Below are 27978 nucleotides of genomic sequence, written 5' to 3'. Positions count from 1 at the left end.
AACACTTTTGTACAATAAAGTTTAATCACAATTATAAAAATGTGGCGTCGGGTTTGCGCTATTAACATATGTACAGTCCAGCCCAGCAAAAGGGACCCACCCCGCCATCCTGGCCTGGCTGAGCCGGGGAGTGACACCAGGGTGGAAGGGTGACCCTCAGGGTCTGGCAGGAACAGATGAGGCAGGGTTCCAGGCACGGAGTCCCCAGGACTGGGGGTGCAGAGCCCCCCCAGGGGGAGAACATGGCCACTGCCCCAGAGACCCCTAAACTGGGGAGGGGTACACGCAGGGCGTAAGGGGAAGTCCCCATTAACACAAAGCAAGAGGACTGTGTAGCCCCCCAGGACAGAATCTGTACAGGCCGGCACCCCAGGTTTCCACAGGAAACAGCTGCTGGCTGCTACAAAACATTTACAGCTTCTTCTCCGCAAAGAAAAACAATCAGGGGGTGGTGGGCAGGGGTGACAGGAGAGGCAGAAGCTGCCTCCAGGGACTGAGGCTCCCTCGCTGGGCTTGGGGCCCCCAACCCCACGCTTGGAGATGGGGGCATGTGGGCCCTGCTGAGCCCACTAAGGCTGGGGGGGTGCTGGGAGCTCAGGGCACCAGGGGGAATAAATAGGGGTGTGGGCACCCATCCTGCCCCACCTCAGTTTAGGGAGCCCCGGCAGCTCTCTGTGCCACACAGACACGGGATCTTGTTGTCTTCCAGTGGGAACTTGTAGTCGTAGGTGATCTCCTCGTCCACGCCAATGGGCTGCTTGGAGTAGATCACGATCTTCTTCTGGGACTCGATGGTGATGACCTTGGCGTAGCAGTTAGGCTGCGGATGGAAGGGCGTGTGAGCCGTGGCCACCCCCACCGACCCCCAACTCCTGCCCCGGCTGGCCCCTGGCGCACCGTGCAGCAGTGGTTGATGAATCTGGCCAGGTTGCCACACTTGGTGGCATCGATGATGGTGTCGTGGTCCACCCGGAACAGGTAGCTGCTGCCAATGCCCTCCTGCACGTAGCGCTTCTCCCGCATGTCGGCCACCATCTGCCAGGGTGAGATGCGATGGTCAGGGAAGAGTCCCCCACTTCCTGCCCCTGAGCACGCCTGCCAGCCAGCACCCCAGGTCCACGCCCACCAGGCCTGGAGCTGCAGCTCTGCCTCCAGCTCCCGCTAACCCGGCACTGACTCTCTCGACTCTGCTTCCAGGAGCCCTCCCTCTTTGGGGCAGCATCCTAAGCCTCTGGTGGCCATTCTAAGTCACCCGCAGGGAACTCCAGGGAAATCTGCACTGGGTAAGAGAGCCACTGACTCCTTCGAGCATCTGCCTGGTCACAGTGGGGTCCCGGACTGCTGGGGCAAGTCTGGGGTTGGGGCAGCTCCTGAAATGACTGGCCATGTCACCAACGGCACCCTGCTCATCTCTCCTCCCTGGACCTCTCTCCAAAACAGGCACCTGTTGGCTGCCACCGGCTAATGCAAATGGCAGGCCGCCCATGTCAGGCCCCGCACCTCCGTGTGAGGAGCAACCCTTACTTCCCAGAAGACAGTGAGGAGCCTCTGCACGCCCTCCTCGGGTGACCTCACTCCCTTCCAGAGCCTCAGCCGCCAGCTATGTGGTGGGGACTCCTCCCAAACTTCCATTTCCAGCCAAAAGCCACCTCAGTGGAGCTGCTGGGCGTCATCCCCTAGATGTCCCTGGGGCATTGCAACCCCACATGTCCAGACTGGAGCTCATCTTGACCATATATTTGTTCTTCCTCCTCACACCCATCTCACTGGCCCTCCCATCATACTCCCAGCAGCTAAGAGCAGCACCGAGAGAGGGCCTCCCGTCCCCCTCACCCTCTCACTGCTGAGCCCAGCCAACCACCTTGCACCCAAAGCCTCCTCTCTGTCACCTCTGCTGCCACTGCTTGGGTCGGGCCACCCTTGCCTTTGCCTGGATACTGGTGTCAGCCTAGACATGGAGCTCACTAGCCATGGGGCCCTCTCCTGCGGAAGGACCCTCTCCTGCGGAAGGACCCTCTCCTGAAGAAAGCTCCGGGACTTTCCTCCTCTCTCACCACAGGCCCAAGTGGATTCACAGGCTCCCAAGCCCGTGCGGTCTGGGCTCTCTGTTCCCTCCAGCCACACGTCGCTGCCACTGACCCTGTTTTTTCTTTTCTTTTTTTTTTTTTTGAGACGGAGTCTTGCTCTGTCGCCCAGGCTGGAGTGCAATGGCGCGATCTTGGCTCACTGCAACCTCTGCCTCCCAGGTCCAAGCGATTCTCCTGCCTCAGCCTCCCTAGTAGCTGGGATTACAGGCGCCTGCCACCACGCCTGGCTAATTTTTGTATTTTTAGTAGAGACGGGGTTTTAGCATGCTGGCCAGGCTGGTCTCGAACTCCTGACCTCAGGTGATCTGCCTGCCTCAGCCTCCCAAAGTGCTCGGATTACAGGCATGAGCCACCGCGCCTGGCCATGGCCCTGGTTTCTAATGAGCCAAGCTGACCTCCACACTCTCACAAGACGACCGTGCCTCCAGGTTTGTGCACATGGTGTCTCGCAACCAAGCGCACACACACTACCACTTGTCTGGGCCTGCGAGCTCCTTTCAGCTTTACTCAAGCACCATGGTCTCTGGAAGGTCTTAGGCCCCCCAGGTGTGTGTTCCCATAGCCCAACTCCCCAGATCTTGTTAAGATCTTGTTAATACCAAATGCCATCCTTTTGGCTTTTGTTTTTTCTAGAGACACGGTCTCACCCTGTTGCCCAGGCTGGAGTGCAGTGGTGCAATCTTGGCTCACAGCAGCCTCCACCTCGTGGTCTCGAGTGATCCTCCCACCTCAGCCTCCTGGGTAGCTGGGACCACAGCCATGTACCCCCACGCCCGGCTAGCTTTTGTATTTTTTGCAGAAACGGGGTCTGGCAATATTGCTCAGGCTGGAACACCATCCTTCTGTGTGGATACTTGTTCAGTGCCTGTCCTCCCGCTTCCCAGGCCCTTTGAAAGGGAGCAGCGCTTGGCTGGATGCGATGGCTCACGCCTGTTAATCCCAGCACTTGTGAGTGGCCAAGGCAGGCAGAACACAAGATCAGGAGATCAAGACCATCCTGGCCAACATGGTGAAACCCCATTTCTACTAAAAATACAAAAATTAGCTGGGCATGGTGGCACACGCCTGTAGTCCCAGCTACTCGGGAGGCTGAGGCAGGAGAATCGCTTGAACCCAGGAGGCAGAGGTTGCAGTGTGCCAAGATCGCACCACTGCACTACAGCCTGGCAACAGAGAGAGACTATGTCTCAAAACAAAAAAAGAAAGGGAGCAGTGCCATCAGCCATGCCTCCTGCTGGACCACTGACACCTGCTGACCACACCGGAGGGAGGCTGGTCTCACTGGCTAGGTACCGGGGTTAGGGAGTGTGCAAGGCTTTAACCGGACAAACAGCATGTGTGTGAGCCCCCATGCTGTCTTGTTGCATCAGAAGCCGGGGCGGGGCTGGGAGTGCAGCCTCACCTGACGGATGTTCTGACCCACGTATTCGATGACCATCTCGTCAGCAGCAATGGGTTCCATGGCAAACAGACCCCACTCGTGGATCCGGCTCCGGCCAAATCGGAGCTTCTTCTTCCGGAACTGGGGGGCAGAAGGGAGACTCAACTGCCAGACACCTCCCACACCCCAGACCCTCACTCTTCCCACAGACTTCCTGGGCAGAGGGTGTTCTGGCTGCTTACCCCCCAACTCCACCCGAGGGAACCACAGGAGCCTGCTGGGTGGTCCCCTGGCCTCTGCCCCTTCCTGCCCCACCCCACCCCACCCAGCCCCTCCTGCAGCCCAGCCTCACCTTGAGCTGGTTGAGTTTCAGCAGGTCACTGTCCATGATGGCGGAGGTACCGATGGCGCTCAGCAGCCGCCGCTGCTCGGACCGGCGCTCGGACAGCACGCGGTTCGTCCCCTGTGAGACACACGGCAGGGAGGAGGTGAGCAGGGCAGGGAAGTGAGTGGCAGGAGGACGCGGCGGCGGGGTTAGGCCCACCTGAGTGTCCACGCCCTCCAGCTGCCGGGCCGAGACTGGGCACACGTCCAGGTACTTGTCCTTCTCCTTCTTGCTGATGGGGTAGTAGCCTTCGCTGCGGGCTGAGCCTGTCTGGTGCTCCCGGGGCCCATCCTGGGGCCGCCGCTTGCGTTTTGGGGTGGTCAGGTTGGTGAGTGCAGGGTGTTAAGGAAGAGAACGGCTCCTCTCTGGCCACCTGCGTCCCAGCCAAAGGAGAGGGCGGGGCCCACGCCGCTGAGCATACCCAGGTGAGGGACAGGGGAGGAAGCCCCAGCCCCATCGTTCCTGCCAGAAATGCTTTGGAAGGCAGAAAAGAGGCACCAGGAGGAGAGAAAAGATGGCTTGGAGCCAGAGGGGAGGCAGACAGAGTGGGGCACAGATGCAGGTGCCTGGAGGGGTCGGGGGAGGACCCAAGCCCGGGGAAGGCCGCCCACACTCAGGATATTTGTGTGATGGACCCAGTGAGTGTCGTTGAGCCAGTCAGCCCCGCTTGTCTGCTGCAGCAGCCGCTCGTACGTAAGCCGCAGGTAACTCATGTCCTCTGAGTCCAGGCCCGAGTTCCAAATGTCATACAGGATGGTCATCTGTTCAAACTCACTGCGTGGCTCGTAGGCGCGGGGCGGTGGCGGCGGGGGTGGGGGCGGAGGGCGGCGGCGCCGGGCGTGGGAGCGGAGGCTGCGCCTCCGGAGGGCGCCCTCCCCATCGCTGCTGCTGCTGCTGTCAGAGGACTCCTCCTCCTCTTCCTCCCCCTCTTCCTCCCCCTCCTCTTCGCCCTCCTCCCGCTGCTGCTGCAGTTGCTGCGGCTTGGGCTCCTCCGCCTCAGCCACCACCACCTCGGGGGCCTCCAGGACCTCATCAGCTGGGGAACTGAAGAGGGCGGCGGGTGCGGGCACTGGCTCCGGGGGCCGCAGGGCTGGCGCAGGGGGCGTGGGCTTGACGGCCAGGGCATAGTTGTGCTCCAGGAGGATGTGGCTGAGCAGGGGCCTAGGGCGCTCGGCCTCGTCCGATGTCTCTGTGGCCTCTGAGTCTTCAACAGCAGGCAGGGCAGGCAGCCCGCGCCGGGCAGGGGTCAGGGCCAGGTCGGCCAGGACCGCCAGGTCCACCTCTGTCCCTGGCTCAGCCTCCTCTTCCTCGGTGAGGCGGCCTCGGCCTCCAGCCCGGCTCCGGCCTCCTCGGGACACCTCCTCGGGCCAACTCTTGACCAGAGATGCGTGGTCCAGGGGCAGGTTGCGGATGGTCCGCTCCACGCCCCGGGGAGCCTTGCGGGAGGCTGGGCCGGGAAACTTGGCCTGCGGCGGTGTGGCTGGAGGGGGCTCCGGGGCTGGCACCACCTCGATGGCAGAGAAGGAGACAGTTTTCCGGCGTTTCTTGGGTGGGGGCAGGAGGGGGATGGGAGAAGAGGGACGCTCATCGGGGCGTGGGGCAGGGGCCGGGGGCCCAGCAGGTGGTTCTGGGGGACGCAGAGGCGCACTGGGGGGTGACTCCTCCGTGGGGCCTGGGAAGGAAGCACATAGGAAGGAAAGGAGGTCAGGGAGACCCAGGCTCAGCCACCCTGGCCGCCCATGACCACAGGCTGTGTGCTCTCCCCCACTTCCGCCCAGGAACCCCGGAGGGAACACAGACGCCCTGGCCTCAGCCCCACATCCCAGCAAGATGAACTCCCTTGATGAGAGGGGGTTTCCCACCCATTCGTTCCCGCTGTGACACGTGTGTGGGACACTCGGAGTCCACACACACACCTTCCATGTCCTCCCGGAGCCACAGTCCAACAGGAGACACCATCACAACAAGCTGTAACCACGCTGAGAAGGGCGGCACCACTCGCCCTGGACTCCACTTTCCTACCCAGACTGGCGGGACAGCCCTGTGCCCAGGCCCCAGCCATGTCACATGCCAAGGACCCAGTCAGCCACATTTCAGCTAAAATATCCATTATCTCCATCATAAACAATATTCTCAGTTTAGCAAGGTGAACACGATACAACCTAAAAAGTGGCATCTTTGTATTAAAATATTTTATGAAACTTGCCTTCCTCCCCATCCCCTACAGAATTTGAACATGCCCTGCAGGGAGGGGCAGGAGACAGCGCTGCTAGAGAAGCAGGGCTGGAGTGGAGATCCCAGGATGCGGGTGGCTGGGGAGGGAACACACTGGCTCCGAGCTGGGGGTGCTGCCTCCCCAGCGTACCCTCAGGACGGGGAGTGCATCCTCCCTTGGCCGCCATCCCTGGGAAAGCCTGCATGAGGCTCTCAGAGCCAGCCCAATGGATTTTGTGCCTAACACCAATCACACCTCTTACGTAGAGTAACTCATGTAATCCTCACAACAGCCCAAAGAGGTTCCTATCTTTTTTTTTTTTTTTTTTTGAGATGGGGTCTCGCCCTGTCGCCAGGTGGGAGTGCAGTGGCGCAATCTCGGCTTACTGCAACCTCCGCCTCCCGGGTTCAAGCGATTCTCCTGCCTCAGCCTCCCGAGTAGCTGGGACTACAGGCATGCACCACCACACCCAGCTAAGTTTTGTATTTTTAGTAGAAGCAGGGTTTCACCATGTTGGCCAGGATGGTCTCGATCTCTTGACCTCGTGATCTGCCCGCCTCGGCCTCCCAAAGTGCTGGGGTTACAGGCGTGAGCCACTGTACCCAGCAGAGGGTCCTATCTTACAGACAGGAAAACTGAGGCACAGAGATGTGGTCAGTTACCAGATGACAGAACAAGCTCTGCTCCCAGGCCATGTGGGTTGAGCTCATGCTCTGAACTGCAGCCCACGGACTCACTGGCTTCACAACTGGCTTCCCCGCTCAGCGCCAACAGGGCCGCCGGCACCAGGCCCGGCCCTAGGAGGCAGCGATTCACCTGAGTCCACCGCACTCCCAACCCTGGCGCCCTGAGCCAGGCTCTTGGCTGCACCTTAGGCTCTAGACACCCGCTGGGGTCTCAGCCTGTGGCAGCAACCCACTCCAGGAAGCCAGTGAGGACCCAGATGCATGCAGGCCTCCTCTCACCTTCCTCCCCACCACGCTGGGGCAGCGCCCCCTACAGACCACCTCACGCTTCAGCATGCATGTCCTCGGGAAGCCTCGCTCGAAGAACACACTCCTCCACCAGCACAGCTGCTGCACACACACTTCCCTCTGCGACTGTCCCAAAGGGAACCTGCCCATCCCTCTCATTTAGGAGACAACTTTTGGGGGCACCTGCCCAGTCAATATGACTCCCACCACCTTCCTCTGAGAACTGCTCTACTGCCACGCTCAGGTCCATGGGGCGAGGCCCCAGAAGCCAGTTCCTACTGCATAACCTGCCCCTCCCCAGGGCCATCACTAACATCCCCAGGCGGCAATCACTAAGACGGTGGTGACTGAAACTGGTTCTGGTTATTAGAAACTCGGTGAGCTGGCCGGGCGAGGGGGCTCACGCCTGTAATCCCAGCACTTTGGGAGGCCGAGGCGGGTGGACCATGAGGTCAAGAGATCGAGACCATCCTGACCAACATGGTGAAATCCCGTCTCTACTAAAAATACAAAAATTAGCGGGCGTGATGGCGCGTGCCTTAGTCCCACCTACTCGGGAGGCTGAGGCAGGAGAATCACTTGAACCTGGGAGGCTGAGGATGCAGTAAGTCGAGATGGCACCACTGCATTCCAGCCTGGTGACAAAGCGAGACTCCATCTCAAAAAAAAAAGAGAAGAAACACAGTGAGCCTTCACTAAGCACCCCTTGCTCTGAGCCACGGCTCCTCTGTCCTCGGTAACTCAGACTCCCTTGTCGTGCCCTCTCACTATCCAGACACCAAGGGGCTGCCTGCATCTTCCTCTCCTCTTCCACCTCTGCCACCTCCCCAGGGGACTTGGCAATCACGCCTGTTTACCTGGATTCTTGCATCTCCAGTGATCCCCTTCAATCACCCTCAGCTCCCCTCAAGCAGCCACACACCTGGCCTTGTCAATCCCAGAATGGCTCCGCCTTGGAGATTCCCCATCCTCTCCAACATTCCCCACTGTCCATTCAGTCTGCCCCACTGCACCTTCAACTTCCCATCCTTCAGTTTCCCTCTAGCACATCACCCTCTTCCCAACTTCCTCCTCCACCCTGCCCAGACCCCAGGGCCCGTACTTTGCCCTCTCCTGTCCCAGCACAGCCCCAGGTCCTCATCATTCCACCACACCTTTACCCTGTGGAGCCAGCCAGCAGCCTCTTCTCCCCTCACTCCCAGGCCCCAGCTCTGGCAAGGCCTTCCAGCATGGGGAGGCCCAGGCGAGAGGCTTGCTCTGTCTCCAGGATACAGTGCAGCGGCACAATCACTGTTTACTGCAGCCTCCTCAACCTCCTAGGCTCAAGCAATCCTCCCGACTCAGCCTCCCCAGAAGCTGGGACCACAGGCATGTGCCACTATGCCTGGCTTTTTTTGTTGTTGTTGTTAGCCAGACTGGTCTCGAACTTCTGGGCTCAAGAGATCCTCCTGCCTCGGCCTCCCAAAGTGCTGGGATTACATGTGTGAGCCACCGCGCCTGGACTGGAGCAACTTTTCTCCACTTTCCAAGGTTCTTACTCCACTCTTCCTCTCACAGTCCTACAGCAACAGGGTCAAAAGAGGACTCAGGCACAACACCCCCATCTCCCTGCCTCCCCACCGAAGGGTATAACTGCATCAGATCTGGAAGCTACTCCTCCACCTCCCCAAAAAGGCCATGCCAGCAAGCATTCCTCTCTCCCGGCACATCTACCTGGCCCGTTCCCTTCAGTGGAACATGCCCAAACCTCATCTACTTGGAAAAGCTAACCCCTCCCTCAACCCTGCCCTCTCTTCTTGCTCTCCCTCCAGCTCTGGCTGGTAACCTTAGTTTGTTCCTGCATCTCACTAAGCCTTGAAGCCCTCATCTATAAAATGGGAATCACAGGGAGGTTGTGGGGCAAGCGCAGTGGCTCACACCTGTAATCCCAGTACTTTGGGAGGCCAAAGTGGGCTGATAACTTGAGGTCAGGGGTTTGAGACCAGCCTGGGCAACATGGTGAGACCCTGTCTCAACTAAAAATACGAAAATTAGCCAGGCGTGGCAGTGTGCACCTGTAATCCCAGCTGCTTGGGAAGCTGAGGCAGGAGAATCACATGAACCCGGGAAGCGGAGGTTGCAGTGAGCCGAGATTGCACCACTGCACTCCCGGCTGGGTAACACAATGAGACTCCATCTCAAAAAAAAAAAAAAAAAAAAGGGAGAGGTTGTGGGGATTCAATGAGAAAATGAATTGTCAACATGCTATGCCTAGAGCCTGGCACACATAGGTACTTGACACATGGGAGCTGATATCACAACCCCCAATTCTTTTTTTTGAGACGAAGTCTCGCTCTGTCGCCCAGGCTGGAGTGCAGTGGTACAATTTCGGCTCACCGCAACCTCCACCTCCCAGGTTCAGGTGATTCTCCTGCCTCAGGCTCCTGAGCAGCTGGGATTACAGGCGCCTGCCAGCATGCATGGCTAATTTTTTTTTTTTTTTGGAGACAGTCTCGCTCTGTCACCAGGCTGGAGTGCAGTGGCACGATCTCGGCTCATGGCTACTTCTGCTTCCCCGGTTCAAGCGATTACTCCTGCCTCAGCCTCCCGAGTAGCTGGGATTACAGGCATGTGCCACTATGCCCAGCTAGTTTTTGTATTTTTAGTAGAGATGGGGTTTCACCATGTTGGTGCTGGCCAGGATGGTCTTGATCTCTTGACCTCGTGATCTGCCCGCCTCAGCCCTCCCAAGTGCTGGGATTACAGGCGTGAGCCACCGCACCCAGCCTAATTTTTGTATTTTTAGTTAAGATGGGGTTTCACCATGTTGGCTAGACTGGTCTCGAACTCCTGACGTCAAGTGATCTGCCCACCTCAGCCTCCCAAAGTGCTGGGATTACAGGTGTGAGCCACTGCGCCCGGCCCCAACTCTCCTTTCTATCTCAGCAAGAGTGGTCCACCCTTCCAGAAAACTGCCCTCCCCTCATTCCTTAACACCCTGTAACTTGGCTTCAGTCTGAACCACTCAACTGAAATTGATAAGGTCACCAATGACCTCCTAACTGTCAAATGCAACAGATACTTCCTATCTCAGCCTTGCTGGTGGCCTGGTGATACAAGGCCACTCCCTGCTTTGCAGAGCCTCTCCACTACCTGCTTCCCTTCTCGCCTCTGGTCACCGCTCTCAGCCTCCTCGGGCCCTGCTTGCCCACTGCTCTCACAGGATGGGAAGGCTCTGCCCTTTCTCTCCCCCCACTCGCCTACCTGGGTCTATAGGTGAATTCACTGCTACACTTTCAAGACCTAAGCACCGACCTCATATCCAGCCTACCGTTCTTTCCAGACCCCAGATCCATGGATCCAACTGCCACTGTTTCTACTGGGAAGCCCAAGGGGCACCTCAAATGCAACCTCAACTACACTCATCAGTTTTCTTCCTAATCCTGGTTTTCTTCCCAAGTTTCTTTTCCTGGGGAAGTTTAACCAAATCATCCTACCTCCTAAATTTCCCTCCAATCCTCACCCCCATTTCCACTCCACTCTTCTGCCACATTAGAACCGCTCGGCTTTGGTTCATGCCATTAAATCTCACCTGCATCCTTTCAAACCTCCTCATGTCACCCACCTCCTTGCTCCTCTCTTCCAAATCTCTCCTCCTCCTGCTAGAATGGGCTTTCTGAAATGCAGATATGGTCAGGCCCCTCTCCTTCCTGCTCTGATGAGAATGGAAGAGGACTAAGATCCATGCCTTCTGACCTGCCGGTGACCCCACAGGCCCTTCTGCTACCCAATGGGCCCAGAAGAGGTTGGAGAGTCATCTGAGGTGTAATGAGCGCCTCAACTCCCCTCTCATGGGGTCTGGAGCTTAGTAGAGTGCACCAGGGTGAGGAGGTCTTCCTGTGGGCACTGCCTATCTCAGACCACGGATTCTCAACAACGTGCAACTGGGAGACCCCGGGAGGCCATGCACATCTTCACAGCACATCTGATTTTTGAGATGGAGTCTCACTCTGTTGCCCAGGCTGGAATGCAGTGGCATGATCTCTGCTCACTGCAACATCCACCTCCCGGGTTCAAGCGATTCTCGTGCCTCGATCTCCCAAGTAGCTGGGACTACAGGTACACAACACCACATCTGGCTAATTTTTGTATTTTCTGGTAGAGATGGGGTTTCGCCATGTTGATCAGGCCGGTCTCGAACTCCTGACCTCAAGTGATCTGCCCGCCTCGGCCTCCTAAAGCTCATAGCACATCTTGAACACTGACTTATTTGATCTATCCTTGCAACACCCTAAGTCCAAGCTATCACCATAATTCGCCTTACATTCTACAATAGCCACTTAAGAAGCGCCCTACATCCACTGTGGCCCCTTTCCAAGCTTTCTCTGCACTGCATTTTTTCGAAACATACATCTGACCATGTCATTCCTCTGATGGGTTTCTACTTCAAAATAAAGGCCAAATTCCTGACATGGCTGGCCTATTTGTCTGCTGGGCCCAACTCTCACTCACTTCTCCAGTTTCAGCCACCCCAGTGCCCCCTTGTGCTCAACCCTCTGAAGGGTCGGCTTTCTTCCAGTCTTCCAACCCGCTGCTTCCCCTGCTGGAGGGCCTTTGCACACGCTAAGCCAGCCGTGCTGCCTGCTTTGCCCAGACTTCAGCCCAGCAGTACCTCAGCAGGAAGCCTTCCTCCTCCTGCAGATGTGCTCCGGCTGGCTGCCCTGTGCCTCTTCCTGGTGCTTCTCATGGTTCGTAACCACAGGTTTTCCTAGGTATTCTCTCTTTTTTTTTTTTTGAGACAGGGTCTCGCTCTGCCACCCAGGCTGGAGTGCAGTGGTGTGATCTTGGCTCACTACAACCTCTGCCTCCTGGGCTCAAGTGATCCTCCCACCTCAGCCTCCCGAGCAGCTGGGATCACAGGTGTGCGCCACCACGCCTAGCTAGTTTTTGTAATTTTTGTAGAGACAGGGTTTCATCATGTTGCCCAGGCTGGTCTTTTTTTTTTTTTTTGAGACAGAGTCTCGCTCTGTCGCCCAGGCTGGAGTGTAGTGGTGCGATCTCGGCTCACTGCAAGCCTCTGCCTCCTGGGTTCACGCCATTCTCCTGCCTCAGCCTCCTGAGTAGCTGGCACTACAGGTGCCTGTCACCATACCTGGCTAATTTTTTGTATTTTTTAGTAGAGATGGGGTTTCAACCATGTTAGCCAGGATGGTCTCGATCTCCTGACCTCATGATCCACCCGCCTTGGCCTCCCAAAGTGCTGGGATTACAGGCGTAAGCCACCGCGCCCGGCCTCCTATGTATTTCTTACTCAATGAAGATGTCTTTCCCTGTAGACTGTAAGCATGATGAGAGTGAGAACACTGCCTGTGAGGCTCAGCAACCCATCCCCTGCACCTACTGTTTGGCTGCGATGAGCACTCAAAAAAATATCTACTGCTTGAAAGAGCGGTTCCCTCAGCAGGCTAAGCTATGCGAATGTGCTAGAGTATAACAACTAGACGTACAAATGAACAAAGAAAAGCAGCTAGGACCAAGTTCTGTGTTATGTTAATACTTGTTTTCTACCTATTTGCCCATTTAATAACCTGCACTTGTTCACTACTCACTGAAGAACAGGCTTAAGAAAAATTAGGAGGAAGAACTTATTCAACTGGGCACTTTCTCCTTAATTTACTTGAGAAGAGACCAACCCATTTTACTTTAGTATGCAGCTTAGCCTGGGGTTCTGTAAACCACCATGACGGTACAGTTTGAAGTGTGTCAGACAATCAATGTCTCTAGAAGGTAGTGACAGGAGATGGTGACATTTTCTTTGTATGTTTTTCTAATAAAGTCACACACTTGTACACAATAAATGCAAGCACCACTGTTTTCTCTCTCTCTCTCACACACACAGCGATCTAACCGACAGCCCTGTGGCACCTACCTGCAGGCCTTGCTGGAGACGCCTCCTGTTCGGGCAGGGGTGTGACTGGGGAGCCTGCAACCCTTTCCGGCACTGGCACCTCCACAGGTGCTGGCGTGGGCACTGGGACTTCTCTGGGGGGCGGGGAGGCTGAGGGAAGGGCTGCTGGCCGCTCCTCTTCCTCTTCATCTTCAGAGGAGGACTCAGAGGATGAAGAGGACGAGGAGGATGAGGACGAGGAGGAGGAGGAGGATGAGGAGCTGGAAGAGCTGCTGCTCTCGGAGTCTGATGTGCTGTCATTTTCGCCATCTGAGTCAGCATACAGAGAACATTTGGAAGACGAATCGCTTTCCTCGTCCTCGCCTGGAAATCCAGAAGGGGCAGTCAGGAGAGGTGGGCAGACCTCACTTGGCCAGCCGTGGGCTCCTCACTCACTCCCTGCTGTGGATGCTGGGCTCTGGGCTAGGGACGGGGAAGTCCAACAGACCAAGGAGCTGCATAAGCAAACCATTTTCACTGTGAGATAAACATCAGCATGCGGGGAGGATGGCAAAGGAAGCCCCAGACTCTGTCTGAAGAGGCCCGAAAAGGAAAGCATCCCAGGGGACAAGCTGAACTCAAGGACAAGGAGTCCACCACACAGACATGGGGACTGCACAGGGATGTCGGAAGCAAGAGGAAGTGGAGGCTTGGAGACTGGGAAGCAGGCTGCTCTGGCACTCAAACCTTCCTAAAGTGGGTCTCAGGACCCAGTCTGGACGAAGGATTGGGTGAAAAAGGATTCTGGGCTGAAAAGGTTAAAAAACACGACAGGCTCTATATTCTGAGACTGCTCATGTACGGGAAGGACTCGAAAAAACTGAAGAATTTCACAGTTTTTGAGGAACAGAATTGGATAAGTTAGACTAGAAGGTGGTGGCAGCTGGGGAGCGGACTGGAGGAGGGCGAGATGGAGCTGAACAGAGCAGGGCCAGGAGATAAACGGCCCATGGTGTTGGCCTGGGGGGACACCCTGTGGAGAACAAGTTGCCAGGAAGGACCTTATGGAGGGAAGTCACAGGGTCAGGAGTGCATTTTAGGAAAGAGATTCTATAAGCAGTTTGGAAAATGGACTGGAACAGAGGGAGAAGGACAGAAAGAGAGACAGGGAAATCAGTCAAGACTGCTGCAAGAGGCTGCGTGCAGTGGCTCACAGGTGAAAGCCTAGCACTTTGGGAGGCCGAGGTGGGTGGATCACTTGAGGTCATGAGTTTGGGACCAGCCTGGCCAACATGGTAAAACCCCATCTCTGCTAAAAATACAAAAATTAGCCAGGTGTGGTGGCTCACACCTGTAATCCCAGCGCTTTGGGAGGCTGAGGCAGGAAAATCGCTGGAACCAGGGAGGCGGAGGTTGCAGTGAGCCAAGATCACATCACTGCACTCCAGCCTGGGTGACAAAGCGAGACTCTGTCTCAAAAAAAAAAAAAAAAAATCTGGGTGTGGTGGCTCACGCCTGTAATCCCAGCACTTCCAGAGGCTGAGGTGGGTGGATCGCCTGAGCTCAGGAGTTCAAGACCAGTCTGGCCAACATAGTGAAACCCTGTCTCTACTAAAAATACAAAAAATTAGCTGGGGGTGGTGGTGGGTGCCTGTAATCCCAGCTACAACGGAGGCTGAGGCAGGAGAATCTCTTGAACTCAGGAGGCGGAGGTTGCAGTGAGCCGAGATTGCGCCATTGCACTCCAGCCTGGGCGACAAGAGCGAAACTCTCTCAAAACAACAACAACAACAACAACAAAAAACAAAACAAAAAAAGCGTTCTGCCAGGCTGTCCTTTTGGACAGCTATGTCTCAGCAGAAGAGGGAGCAGGAGGGAGCATTTTGAGCACTGAGCTTATTGCTGTCAAGGGGCCAAGGGTTCCTAAGAATGTGGCCCAAACAGATGCCCTTGCAGAAGGCAAAGGTGACCCACAAGCCCAGCAGGAAGGTCATGTGGGCTCAGAAAAGGGCTAGCCAGGCAGCCGAACCCCTCCTCCGAGCCCAAAGTCGATTTCACTGTCTTGTGCTCACCATCCGACACCTCTGTCTCCTTCTTTGTGGTATCCACAGCTTCCTCTCGATCTTCATCTTCCTCATCTTCCTCGTCATCCTCCTCATCCTTAAGAAAAAAGACAAATGAGGACTAACAGGAAGGGGACAACTGGTCCTACACCAGGCACAGCTGCCTGGGCTCCAACCACAAAGATGCTGGCTATGGGAAGTAGGCTTCGGCCAGGAGCCGGCGCCCGGGCCCTCACCTTCTCCGAGGAGGACTCCTGGGATGCCTCCTCCCCTTCGCTGTCCAGAGCAAAGGACTTGCGGTGCTTGCCCTGGGTCTTGCCTCGCTCTTCGTCCCGCTTCGGGGGCTTGGTCCCCGGACGTCCTGGCTCTCCAGCCTCCTTCTCTTGTTCAGGGTCTAGGCCAGCAGAGTGGTAGTTGGGGAAATTTACCATCAACCACAAGATACTTGCCCTGTGCAAGGGGCTTTACATATACTATTACCAATCTTCCTGATGGTCTTCATTTCACAGATGAGAATTTGGAAGCTCACCAGAGGAACTCAAACACCTCAGTTACCTCATGTTTCATAGTTTTGTATTTGTTTTTGTTTTTGGGACGGGGTCTTGCTCTGTCACTCAGGCTGGGGTGCAGTGGCATGACCACAGCTCACTGCAGCCTCAACCTGCTGGGCTCAAGCGATCCTCCTGCCTCGGTCTCCTGAGTAACTGGGACTATACAGGGGCATGCAATCATACCCAGCTAATTTTTAAAAATTTTTGTAGAGACAGGGTCTACCTATGTTGCTCAGGCTGGTATTGAACTCCTGGGTTCAAGTGATCCTCCTGCCTCAGCCTCCTGGAGTGCTGGGATTATAGGCGTGAGCCATCGTGCCTGGCATATATATATATATTTTTTTTTTTGAGACGGAGTCTCGCTTTGTCGCCAGGCTGGAGTGCAGTGGCACAATCTCAGCTCACAGCAGCCTCTGCCTCCCGGGTTCAAGCAATTCTCCTGCCTCAGTCTCCCAAGTAGCTGGGACTATAGGCACCCGCCACCACGCCTGGCTAATTTTTCTATTGTTAGTAGAGACGGGGTTTCACCATGTTGGCCAGGATGGTCTCGATCTCTTGACCTTGTGATCCACCCGCCTCGGCCTCCCAAAGTGCTGGGATTACAGGTGAGCTCCACCCTGCCTGGCCTTAATATATACAGATACGCATATGTGTGTGTATATATATATGTGTGTGTGTATATATTTGTGTGTATATACATATGTGTGTGTACATATATATATATATATGTATTTTTTTTTTTTTTGAGACACAGTCTCGTGCTATCACCCAGGCTGAAGTGCAGTGGCATAATCTTGGCTCACTGTAACCTCCACCTCCTGGGTTCAAGTGATTCTCGTGCCTCTGCCTCCCAAGTAGCTGGGATTACAGGTGAACACCACCATGCCTGGCTGTTTTGTATTTTTAGTAGAGACAGGGTTGTGCCATGTTGGCCTGGCTGGTCTTGAACTTCTGACCTCAGGTGATCCTCCTGCCTCAGCCTCTGGAAGTGCTGGGATTACAGTCAGGAGCCACTGCGCCCAGCCCACACAGTTTTAAATATGTCCTGTCCATTTGATCTTGTATCATTTTCTGGTCGGGTGGAAGAGGGAGCTGACTTGTTATGCCTGGCCCAAGAAAAGAGTATGAAGGCCAGTGGGTCTCCAGGGAAGCAGATCTGACTCAATGGGCAAGTTTCCAGGCCATGGTAGCTATCAAGCAAGGGCTCAAACTCAGGCAAACTAGGAGGAAGGTGGTAGGAGGGCATTAGCATCAGGTGGGAAACTTGGGGAGATGCCTCGTTTAACTCGGAATTCTGTGATTCCAGACACTGAATTTCATGGATGGAAAAACCCAAAATACAGAAAATGTAAATCAGCAGACCAGAGGAAGACCTGCAACTACAATCCGGGGATAACTCTACCTGGTGCATCCCATACCTCTCAGAACTGCTGCATTTCAACCCTGCACCTCCACCTGGCTGTGCCCTCAGGACGACCTGACCCCTTCATCCCTACCTCTTGCTCTCCCATCAGAACCCACGCAGCACACCCCTTCTCCTTATGCCTGACCCTGCTCACCGTCTTCATCTTCCTCAGCAGGAGTGGAGGGACGAGGCCTCTTTTCCTCACTGGCCTCGGAAATTTCCGATGGCTCTTTCCGCTTTACCTGGGGGATGGGGAAAAGATGGGGCCTGTTTAGAGCTCAAACACTCAGGCAGAGCACGGTGGCTCACTCCTGTAATCCCAGCACTTTGGGAGGCCAAGGCAGGTAGATCACCTGAGGTTAGGAGTTCAAGACCAGCCTGGCCAACACAGTGAAACCCCAGCTCTACTAAAAATACAAAAATTAGCCAGGCGTGGTGGCGGGTGCCTGTAACCCCAGCTACTCGGGAGGCTGAGGCAGGAGAATCGCTTGAACCCGGGAGGCGGAGGTTGCAGTGAGCTGAGATCAGGCCACTGCACTCCAGCCTGGGCAACAGAGTAAGACTCCATCTCAAAAAAAAGAAAAAACTCAAACACTCATGGTTCCTGACCACCCCTACCCCAAGGAAGGGGGCCCCCTCTCCCTCTCCCCACCCTACCCCACAAAACGACAGTTCTGAGTACCTTGAATGAAGGCAGCCGCAGGGCCCCTCTCAGCCCTGACCCAAAGGCGAAAGCCTCGATGCCCGTAGTGCCCCCGCTCTTGGCCCAGTCCACGAGGGACAGCAGGCCAGGCTCCTTCAGCTTCGTCTTCTCTTTATCCTCCTCCTTGGCTTGCTGCTTGGCCGCGTTCTGGAATGGCTGCAGGCAGCAGTGGGGCTGAGCCCCAGCGCCCAGAACCCAGGCATTCCCTCCTGCCTGAGACCTACTCCCGGACCCCAGGAATACAGAACGCATCTACTTGCTGCTCCATATCTTGGTCACACCTGTCCCAGCCCCCGCACGGCATTTTCTCAAAAGTCTGTCATTTCGCCCACCAGTCTTAAGAAATAGCCACCATTCCCACTTCACAAGTGGCAAAATGGAAGACCAAAGCTTGAAGAGAGCTAAGGGCCTTGTCCACTGCAAGCCAGCAAGGAATGGAGCCAGGACAAAGCTCTGCTGCCTCCCAGGCCCATCTGTGCCTGCTTCTCTGTCCCCTCAACTCCCCTGCCCACCCAGGGTGGCCTGCAGGGCCTGCGGCCTCTCTCCACTCGCCTCCATCACCTGTCTCCTCTGAGCTGTGCAGCCTGGAGGAGCCAGAGGCCCATTTCCTCCTGCAAAGCCCAGGGCTCCCCGGTCCCAGGCGCTGGCCTCACCTTGGCCTTCTCCTCCTTGCTCTCCCACCACTGGTCAAAGGCTCCGAAGGCCACGTTCTCCACCATCTTGCGGTTGAGGTCTCGCTGCATGATGCTCTTCATCTCCTGGACCAGCATGGCGAGCACACGGCCCACGGTGCCTGCTGTCGGGAGGGTCTTGCCCTCTGCCAGCTCTGCTTCTTCCCTGGGTGGCAGCCGGGCCTCCTCTCCCGAGACTGAGGAGGAGGGCAGGGGCTCGGCTGCCATTGGCATGGGCAGGTGGTAGGCCTCCCGTGAGTATGCCCCTCTGCCCTCCTGCCCCTGTGCATATAGAGCATACGGCAAGCCGTAGGCTGCCTCCTGCGGGGGTGGAAACGGGAGGAAGGCCTCCCCAAAGGCCCCACCGGGGGGGCCAGCTGAGGCGGCAATCAATCCCTTGCCCTGCCGCAGCTGATGGAGCCGAGTTAACATCTGGGTCTGCATCTGGAAGGACATGGGCATCCCTCCCCACTGAGCCCCAAGTCGGTCCATGAGCTCCAAGGAGTTCACAAAGTCATAGATGTGCGGGGGTGGTGGAGGAGGTGGGGGGTACTCAGGGGGCGGCGGCCCATCAGGTCTGGGTGGGAGGAGGTAGGCAGGTTGGTGGGGAGGATAACCAAGAGGAAGGGACGCCAGGTAGGGAGGAGGAGGCGGCGGGGGAGGGGGAGGTGGCGGAGGCTGCTGAGGGGGCGTCGGGGCCGGAGGGGGTGAGCCACCCCGGTCGTCGTCGGAGATCTCCATGTCGTCTCCAGAAGAGCATGGAGAAGCCTGCGGGGGCAGAAGAGGGTCACAGAAGGCTTCTGCCTGACCCAAGCCCTACTTTCTCATCTGGTTCCCTTCCCTCTCCCCTAGGCCCAACCCTGACTCCCAGAGCCCAGGTGCCTCCTCTGGCTGACCCCAACCTCACCTGGTTCTGTCCATTTGCCTTGGGAGACTCCCGGGTAGCCCCTGGCTCCCCGCTCCCTGTAGGTGCCACATCCTCAAAATTAGCTGGGGCCGGAGGGGGTGTGCAGGGCCCATGCCCTGACCCAGAAGGCACCTCACTCCCTGTATCTCTGGCCCCAAGGACCATGCTGCTGTTCTCTTCCTCCTCCTCTGTGTCAGAGGCCAAGAAGGAAAACTTGGAGCGCTGCTCCTTCAGCAGCATCTCGATGCGGGAATCCAGGCTGCTGTGCTGGGCGAAGGGCACACTCTCATTGGTGGTCTCCGGGGCTGGGGAGCCAGAGCGGGCAGGGGAGGCTGGGCGGGGGGAAGTCCGAACTTCTTCTCTCTCAGGGCTGGGCCCTCCTCCACCCCCGCCTCCACCAGGTTCTGGAGGCTCCGGGGGTGGAGCCTCTGAGGCAGGAGGCCGGTAGTCCTGGTCGGTGGGCCGGCTGGGCTCGGGGGGCAGGTAGGAGGTGTAAGAAGGTGGGAAGCGCTCAGCTGTATTTTCAGCAAAAGGGGCTCCAGGGGGTTCCTCCCGTGTGGCCCGGCGTGGTGGGTAGGAAGTATGGCGCTGGTAGCGATTCCAGCTTTCATAATACGCTGGGTAGTTTGCATCAGAACTACGAAACTGAGAGGACGAGGAGGAAGAGGATGACGAGGAGGACGAGGACAATGAGGAGGAAGAGGCGGAGGATGAGGCAGTGGCTGCAGTGGTGGCGGCGATGGCCGTGGAGGCGGTTGTGGAGGCTGAAGATGCAGAGAAGTGGCGGCGGGAAAAGGCATCTTGGTAGCTGTTCTCTGACCGCCGGGGCTTGAAGGAGGTTGAAGTGGTGCTGGAGAAGAAGCAGGGGAGTTAGCTGGACTCAGCTCTCTATGACCAAACCACAGCGTACTGGGTCCCAGGGCCCAAAGCCCCTCTATGCTGCCCTCCAAAAGAAGAGCTATATGTTGGGTTCCTAGCTAGTGTGTTCCCCGAGGACAGCAATTTGTTGACTGAATCCACAGAGAAACTAGGACAAATTATTTCCAACTCCCTCTTGGAGACAGACTCTGGGCATCTTCTTCCCAGTGGCAGCTCCCAGACTTTGCGGGCGGGGCCCCAGGCGGGGTCTGCTCTGTACCTGCTGGAGTAGGCAGAGTCCTGAGAGTAGGGGGTGCTGCCCCGAGACGTGTAGGGGGTTCCTTGGGAGGACTGAGGTGTGAACTGGCCAAAGGAAGATGGGGTATCTTGTCGGCTGCTGGAGAAGCTTGTGTCCTGGGAGCAGGGGGTGCCGTTGCCAGGAGTGCCCACCGCAGTGGTGCCTGCTGGGTAGGCAGCTGTGTCAGAGGAAGAGCGGCGGCGGGATTCGGCCTAGAGCGACAGAGCAGGGCAAGGAGAGAGGAATGGGCTCAAACACCACTTGAGACCTGCCCTTTCCCAAACCAGGAATCCTAGTTCCCTTTTTTTTTTTTTGAGACGGAGTCTCGCTCTATTGCCCAGGCTGGAGTCCAGTGGCGTGATCTCGGCTCACTGCAAGCTCCGCCTCCCGGGTTCATGCCATTCTCCTGCCTCAGCCTCCCAAGTAGCTAGGACTACAGGCGCCCACCACCATGCCTGGCTAATTTTTTGCAGTTTTAGTAGAGATGGGGTTTCACCGTGTTAGTCAGGATGGTTTCAATCACCTGACCTCATGATCCACCCGCCTCGGCCTCCCAAAGTGCTGGGATTACAGGCGTGAGCCACTGTGCCTGGCCCCTAGTTCCCTGTCTTTTGAAAGCATCTCAGCAGCTTTGCTTGGCTCTTCTTTGTTTAACGGGAAAGCCCGGAACCTCCCGAAGACTGCTCCTGCTCCGGGCACCCGGACACCATGCCCACATGGCTAGGGGCTGTGGTAGCCACAAACTTCTCACCGTCTCAGTGGCTGCACCCGAGCCTTGGAACTTCTCACTCAGGGCCTTGCCCCCAGTGGGCACAGTCTGAGGGGTGTAGGAGCCATTGACAATTAGTTCATAGTATTTCATTCGTTGTTGTCCTGGAGGGAGGGAAATGGGAACCAATTGTCAGATGGAGATACTAACTCCTTCCTGATCTGGTATTCCTGCTTTCTCAGGCCTCAAGTTTCCTACAATTTCTTGGAATCTGGGTTTCAGGATTTCAGTTCTCCTACCATAACTCTACCTTTGGGACCTTCTACCTTATCTCTACCTCTAAACTACCACAAACAACATATTTTATGACACTTCACGATTTATCAAAAACACTTCTACTTATTTTACCATGTTGGATCACCAGAAGGGAAGCATCAGTACCTCTGTTCTAGAGGCTTAAAAGCGACCTACACAAAGTCACAGAATTGGTCATTGGAAAAATTGGAATTCAAACCCAGAGGCTCGATCACCCCATGCTCTTTATCCTGTAAACTAAAGCATGCAGAACAGCAACCGGGGGACTAACGGAGCCTGCAGGAGCTGTGGAGTGAACACCTCAGAAACACCTTGTGAGGAAAGAAACATGGTATTTAAAAACCATGAGATTTCACACAAAAACCCAAATTTCTGGCTTGAGTGCAGTGGCACGATGTAATCTCCACCTCCCAGGTTCAAGTGATTCTCATGCCTCAGCCTCTCGAGTAGCTGGGATTATAAGCATGAACCACCACGTCCGGATTTTTGTTATTTTTAATAGAAATGGGGTTTCACCATGTTGACCAGGCTGGTCTCGAGCTCCTGTCCTCAGGTGATCTGCCCACCTTGGCCTCTCAGAGTCTTGGGATTACAGGCGTGAGCCACCGCATGCCCGGCCCTGGCTTTCTTTTACAAACCAAATTCAAGAATGTTAAACCTCATTTCCACTTGCAAACTGGCCAGTGCCTACTAATGGCTGCCTCCTCCAGACAATACTGCAATCTGCAGCTCGCCACAGACCCCACTGCTCCCCATCACTCAACACAGAAGCCCAGACCACCTCGCTTGTGTTCACAGCTCCTTTACTCTCTATCTCAAATTTCCAAACCTAAAAACCCAGAAAATCCAGTATTTCTGAGAATCTGGCACCAAAACCTATATGGGTTATAGAATAGCATATAGAAAGATTAAAAAGAGGCCAGGCATGGTGGCTCATGCCTGTAATACCAGTACTTTGGGAGGCCGAGGCAGGCAGATCACTTGAGGTCAGGAGTTCAAGACCAGCCTGGCTAACAGGGTGAAACCCTATCTCTACTAAAAATACAAAAATTAGCCGGGCGTAGTGGCGCATAAATGTAATCCTAGCTACTCAAGAGGCTGAGGCAGAAGAATCACTTGAACCTGGGAGGTGGAGGTTGCAGTGAGCCAAGATCGTGCCACTGCACTCCAGCCTGGGCGACAGATTGAGATTCCATCTCAAAAAAAAAAAAAAAAAATTAAAAACAGGCTGGGCAGTGTAGTGAGACTTCATCTCTGCAAATAATCAAAAAAACTTTGGCCAGGTGTGGTGGTGCATGCCCATAATCCCAGCTACTCAGGAGGCTGGGGTGGCTGAGCCCAGGAGCTGGAGGCTGCAGTGAGGAAAGATCACGCCACTGCTCTCCAGCCTAGGTGACAGAGCAGGATCCTGTCTCAAAAACCAACCAAGCAACCAACCTGACCTGGGCTGATTTACTACAATCTATTCATCTTACCTAGTACAACCCTTCATATGATTTTTTTTTTTTTTTACAGATAGTTATGTGCTTGATTATGGCCTATTGCCCGACCTTGCTGGAGACACCACACACACAAAAATCCATGTACCATAATTCCACTCTAAAATCTGATCTGATTTCAGAAACACAACTGGCCCCAGCAGTTTCAGATCATGACCCTGGGCGCCTGCCTGACCCTGACAGGCATTTGCATGTACAACCTCCGCTGGAGGCCAAGCCTGAGTGGCAGGCAGAGGAGTCCTCACCTTTGATGTCAAGCTGGGCATGGATGATGTTGCCCATGACGGAGGTAAGGTGGAGGTTTTTGACCGTTTCCTTGGCGCCCCGAGTGCTGGTGAAGAGCACACGGGCCAGGCCCAGGTGCTTGCGCGTACGGGGGTGAAGGAGGATCTCTACCTCTTCCACCTCACCGTACTTACGGCACATATCCTTCAGGAAGGTCTCCCGCACGTTGTCATTCAGCCTTGCAAAAGTCACTTCCTTCAGTGGAATCTGTCCAATATAGAACTCGTCCAGCTGGGGAAAGAACAGGAGTTGGTATGGGGTCTCAACACTGACCACTGTTCCTTTGTCCTTCGGGAAACTTTAGCAAGCTCCATGAAGTCAAGAGAGAGATCCGGGAAAGTGAGGGGCAAGGGAAGGGGCCCAAAATAAGGGATCCATCAGACCTGACCCCTTTTCCCTGAATTCTTCTCACCACAGAATAACAGCAAGAATTAAGAACAGAAATGTGCAAACTAGGCCGGGTGTGGCAGCTCACACTTATAATCCCAACACTTTGGGAGGATGAGGTGGACGGATCACCAGAAGTCAGGAGTTCAAGACCAGCCTGTCCAACATGATAAAACCCTGTCTCTACTAAAAATACAAAAAAAAAAATTTAGCTGGATGTGATGGTGGGCACCTGTAATCCCAGCTACTCAGGAGGGTGAGGCAGGAGAATCACTTGAACCTGGCAGGCAGAGGTTGCACTAAGCCGAGATCACACCACTGCACTCCAGCCTGGGCAACACAGCGAGACTCCGTCTCAAAAAAAAAAAAAAAAAAAAAAAGAAAGAAAGAAAGAAATGTACACACTGAGGAATAAATATACGTGGAGAGAACGAGCTACAGGGCGATGATTTCCTAGCTCAGCCTTTACTAGGTAACTACCATGAACGAGGCACTGGAAATACAGAGATAGAAAGGAAGAGATTCCCATACAGAAAAGCAGCATGACATGCACATACAAACACAACACGACCCAGTGGCAGCTGACGCATACATGGTGTTCTGGAGCCCAGGGAAGGAAACTTTTGTACAGAGTATGATCAGGGAAGAATTCATAAAGATGGTGTCATTCTTACTGAGATTTGGGGATTAACAATTCATCAAATGACAAGGACCCCTGGAACATGGAAATATAAAACAACTTGGTGTTTTTGAAAAACCGCAAAGCGTTATGGTGTGGATGTAACACAGGGGTGTGGTGTCAAGGCGGAGGATAAGGCTTGGCCAGGTCAATAACCATACATGTCAGTGTCCCAAAACATGGACTTGGCAACAAAAGGAAAACAGCAGCGTAGTGAAGCCAAAGAGACAAATGACAGCAAGGCAGAGGAGAAACTGAGGCAAGAACGAAGGCAAGGAGACCAGGTGAAATGAATACCAAGGTCTACATTAAGTGGCAATGAGAATAGAAAGATGAAGAATAAAAAAGAAAAGAGCCAGGAGGATTCGGTGACCAACTGAGAGAGAAAAGGAGAGAATCACAGGCTGCCAGGCTGTACAGCTGAGTCGATGGTACTGCCACATATGAGTAGAGGGAAAATGAAAAAGGTAGGTTAAGGAGGTAGATAATTTGTTTTAAATCCCTTAAATCTGAAACATGTGTGGCCTCCAAATGAAACTGTCCCCCTACCAGGCATACAAGCCTAGAGATGTTGGCTGGAAACAGATACTTGGAAGTCATCAACATTTAGGTAATAGTTGAAGCTGTGGGTGTGAAAGAGATTGTCCAAGTGAAGTGTACAAAGTAAAAAAAAAAAAAAGAAGAAGAAGAATGAAGGGACCCCACAAACAATTTATTTAGAAAGGAAGAATAAAGAATCAGAGAAGGAAATGAAGAACCACCAGTGTTCCAGGCCCAGTTCAAGGCCTGAAGAATATCTTGTCTAGGGTGGAGAATAGGAGTCCTCGAAGGAAACAAGAGGGAAATGACATCGCCAAATGAGAGGCGGGGAATAGTGCTACCCAGGTAGGCAGTGGCCTTGTCACTCCCCTTGACTGTCAAGGAACTGGGAGATCCCACTCTTGTGTGCTATGATGCACTGTCTACGAATATACAGTGATAGGTATAGCAGCTAAAGAGTCTTTACCTCACCCTTCAAGAAGTCGACACCCCAGCCACCAGGGATACACTTAGGACACCTGACCTGCACCTTTCTGGAAGATTAAGTGTACCTCCTATCCAAAACAACTGAGTCTCACAGCCTCAGAGGTTGCTAGATCTGGCTGAGATCCTTTCATTGGAAACCCTTTTATTCAGCTATAGTGCCAAGACGCATCCTCCACACCCTCTTAGGACTACCACACCAGGAGCCCAGCAGACACTTACCTTAAACTTAGGGACTGGGAGGGAAAAGTCTCTGTTTTTGGACCTGACATGGCAACGGGGGTCTTGGAGGTCTTCGACTGGTATATACTTTGAGTCCTAGGAAGGAAAGCAGCAGCAGAAAGAGAGCTCAGGGTGAATCCAGGCTAGGGAGCTCCAAGCAGCCCATCTGGACACACACATGCAGAAGAGCTGGGTCCAACTGCCCACTTTCAAGAAGGCAGGCTACCGTTCTAGGTGCTGAACAGAATCACAGAGGACGGGCGCCTGGAGCTCCCCGGATGGCAACCAAAGACCCGGGCACTCACGTTGACACTGAAGTGGACTCCATCATAGCGGTACACCTTCTGAGAAGGCCTGCGCAGGGCAGGGTCCAAGGCAGGATCCACGATGAGCTTGTAGTTCCGCCACTGGAAGCTCGGGGCCTTCTGCCCATCTCCCCCACCTTCCTGATCCATCTTTGCTCATTTACACTGTTAGGGGAAGAGGGACACGCAAGAAGGATCAGGACTTGGGGCCTGACTCCCCTGCCTTTCCTCATTGGCTAGCCCCGATTCCAGGTTCTCCCATCACTCCAGTTTCCAACCCTCACCCTGACCCGGGGCTCCCCCGGATTCTCCCCCAAGTACCCTCTGTTTCGCCACAACAACCCAGCCTCTTTCCACCTCCCAACTCTACTGTCAGGCCCCCAGGCCCGTCTCGAGCCCCCTTACCTTCCCGCTCTCCCTAGCGCGCGCCCCACTTGGCCTCGGAGCAAGACCCCTCCCCCGCCCCCTGCAGGCCCCGCCCCCTCCCGCCTCCTCACCGGCCAGCGGCCCGGGCCGAGCCCGGCCACGGCTCCCACACACCCGCTCTCCTCCCCGCGCCCCGATCCTCCGGCCGAAAGGTGGCACCTCTTCGGGGCGTTGGAAACACCGCGAGACCGAGCCCGAGACCCGGCTTCGACCCCGAATCCGGGCGGGGGGGTGGGGGGAACGTGCACCGCTGCCCTCTCCTCCCGCCCCGGCGCGTTCTGCACCCCCCCCAGCAGGTCTCCGCGCACGCGCGCCGCGCGGCCCCACTCACCCGCTCCCGGCGAGCGGCTCCCCCTCCCCCCACCTCGCGCGGCACCTCAGCGGCGCGAGGCGGCGGCAGCGGCAGCGCGAGACCCGGCCCCGCAGCGGTGGCGGCGGCGGCGCCCCCCCACCACCACCTCCCCGGCGCGCGCACCAAACACCACTGCCACCTGCGCGAGGCCCAGCGGGCACAGGGTCTGCATTCGCACTTTCGCCACAGGCGCTGCCGGGGGACCCACGGGGCCGAGGGTAGCGGCTTCGCCTCGGCCGGCGCCCTGGGAGGCTCGGAAGTTGCGGCCCAGGGAGCTTGGAGATTGGCCGCATCCCCCGGAGAGTCGGCTTCGCCACGACGATCTAGATGCTGCGGCCCGGGACCTTGACGAATCGGCGGCGACGAAAGCTGCGACTAGTCCCTGAGGAAAAGGGGCGGGGCGGAGGGGAGGAGGCCAGCCAGCGCTGGGGAACCTTCAGTGGCGCGTTCTGCAGACGCAGATTCACCGGGCGGGCGGGGCGAATCGCTGGACAGGATGCGCGCCGCTTTGCTTCTCTTCCCCGTCCCTTCCTTGCACTGCCAAATTCTGAGAGGCTGCAGATTCGCCACTGTTCCCGGCCTCAGCCGTAGCCTCCCCTTCATCCGCCTTGGTGGAGTCAAGAAAATAACGGCCCGTTAGCCAATCCCTGCTGGCAGAGTCGACAACTTTTTTTGGATTTTTCTTACTGGCCCAAGTGAGAGAATAGCCCGCTTCTGTCCCTGGGGAAAATGCCTCCAGCCCAGCGCTCCTCTCAGAGTCCGATGAGAATTTTCAGCCGAGTATCGAGGGACCCGAGGAATTCTGAGGATCCGACCTGGCGAATCTGCGGATTCCGCTGTGGGCGGGGCCGAGTCAAGGGGCGGGGCCAGGGCGTGCAGAGCCTGGGACTAGGGGGCGCCTCCGGGAGGACCCACGAGGACTCACCCGGATGGGAGGGACGGCCGGGAGGTGGAAAAACACAACCGTGAGCGGTGACTCAGGCGGTTTGCCCCGCCTCGCACATAAATGCAGGGTACCTTTCCTTCCCGTTATTGCCCTTGGGTGTCTGGCTGCTTAGGATGCCCATTTGCCAGATGGGGAGAGTGAGGCCTGTAGAAGGTGCCCTACTTTGCCGTACTCAAACCCACCATTAGTGGTTAAATCCAGGGACCGCCTCAAGGTTTTCTGATGAGCCTAGTGGGGCCTAAGTGCCCTTAAATGGGCCTTGTAATAATAAACGAGGTCCTACAGGAACGGGACTGGACTGGTGTGTCCTCCTGGCGTCATGGTCCCACTGCCCGCTTCTTTGGCTATGGCGCCCTATGCTCACGGGATGCCTCCGCACAAGGGCAGCAGCGGCCCAGGCCTACCCCTGGAACTCGGGCTGAGGTTTCTGAAGGCTGGGCACCGTTTTGATCCCGTGTGGGCGCAG

The 27978-nt window shown here is 55.8% G+C and overlaps 1 protein-coding gene across 8 annotated transcripts, besides 5 other annotated features; it reads right to left on the bottom strand.

The window, feature by feature from the left end:
• SETD1A (SET domain containing 1A, histone lysine methyltransferase) lies at positions 6-26916 on the bottom strand. 8 transcript variants are annotated; one of them, NM_014712.3, is made up of 19 exons: positions 26706-26916; positions 25789-25953; positions 25484-25579; positions 23133-23403; positions 21116-21237; positions 20347-20576; positions 19209-20058; positions 18284-19069; positions 17610-17786; positions 17082-17169; positions 15208-15365; positions 14981-15068; positions 12951-13292; positions 4476-5525; positions 4013-4185; positions 3821-3931; positions 3490-3609; positions 898-1035; positions 6-820 (listed from the first exon to the last, which is right to left on the bottom strand). In NM_014712.3, the coding sequence occupies exons 2-19, from the start codon at positions 25936-25938 to the stop codon at positions 647-649; spliced, it is 5124 nt and encodes a 1707-aa protein (NP_055527.1). In that variant the 5' UTR covers positions 25939-25953; positions 26706-26916; the 3' UTR covers positions 6-646. The 8 variants fall into 8 exon arrangements, with proteins under 8 accessions (NP_055527.1, XP_016879398.1, XP_005255780.1 ...); XM_017023909.2 differs by having other exon boundaries at positions 26745-26916; XM_005255723.1 differs by lacking the exon at positions 26706-26916 and adding an exon at positions 26546-26700.
• Positions 20974-21121: a silencer, noted in NCBI's record as "fragment chr16:30974870-30975017 (GRCh37/hg19 assembly coordinates)". NCBI's record gives its function as "represses an EF-1alpha promoter that drives an FKBP-Casp9 reporter gene in an ReSE screen in K562 erythroleukemia cells {active_cell/tissue: K562}" and the evidence as "EXISTENCE:reporter gene assay evidence [ECO:0000049][PMID:32094911]".
• Positions 26208-26297: a silencer, noted in NCBI's record as "silent region_7406". NCBI's record gives its function as "represses an Ori minimal core promoter by ATAC-STARR-seq in GM12878 lymphoblastoid cells {active_cell/tissue: GM12878}" and the evidence as "EXISTENCE:reporter gene assay evidence [ECO:0000049][PMID:35858748]".
• Positions 26438-26657: a silencer, noted in NCBI's record as "silent region_7405". NCBI's record gives its function as "represses an Ori minimal core promoter by ATAC-STARR-seq in GM12878 lymphoblastoid cells {active_cell/tissue: GM12878}" and the evidence as "EXISTENCE:reporter gene assay evidence [ECO:0000049][PMID:35858748]".
• Positions 26845-27608: an enhancer, noted in NCBI's record as "NANOG-H3K27ac-H3K4me1 hESC enhancer chr16:30968383-30969146 (GRCh37/hg19 assembly coordinates)". NCBI's record gives its function as "activates a minimal SCP1, AML or CMV promoter by ChIP-STARR-seq in naive H9 embryonic stem cells {active_cell/tissue: H9 hESC(naive)}" and the evidence as "EXISTENCE:reporter gene assay evidence [ECO:0000049][PMID:30033119]".
• Positions 27258-27387: an enhancer, noted in NCBI's record as "active region_10741". NCBI's record gives its function as "activates an Ori minimal core promoter by ATAC-STARR-seq in GM12878 lymphoblastoid cells {active_cell/tissue: GM12878}" and the evidence as "EXISTENCE:reporter gene assay evidence [ECO:0000049][PMID:35858748]".

Source organism: Homo sapiens, chromosome 16, assembly GCF_000001405.40.
Source record: "Homo sapiens chromosome 16, GRCh38.p14 Primary Assembly".
NCBI lineage: Eukaryota > Metazoa > Chordata > Mammalia > Primates > Hominidae > Homo > Homo sapiens.
This window is presented reverse-complemented; position numbering and strand designations above follow the sequence as displayed.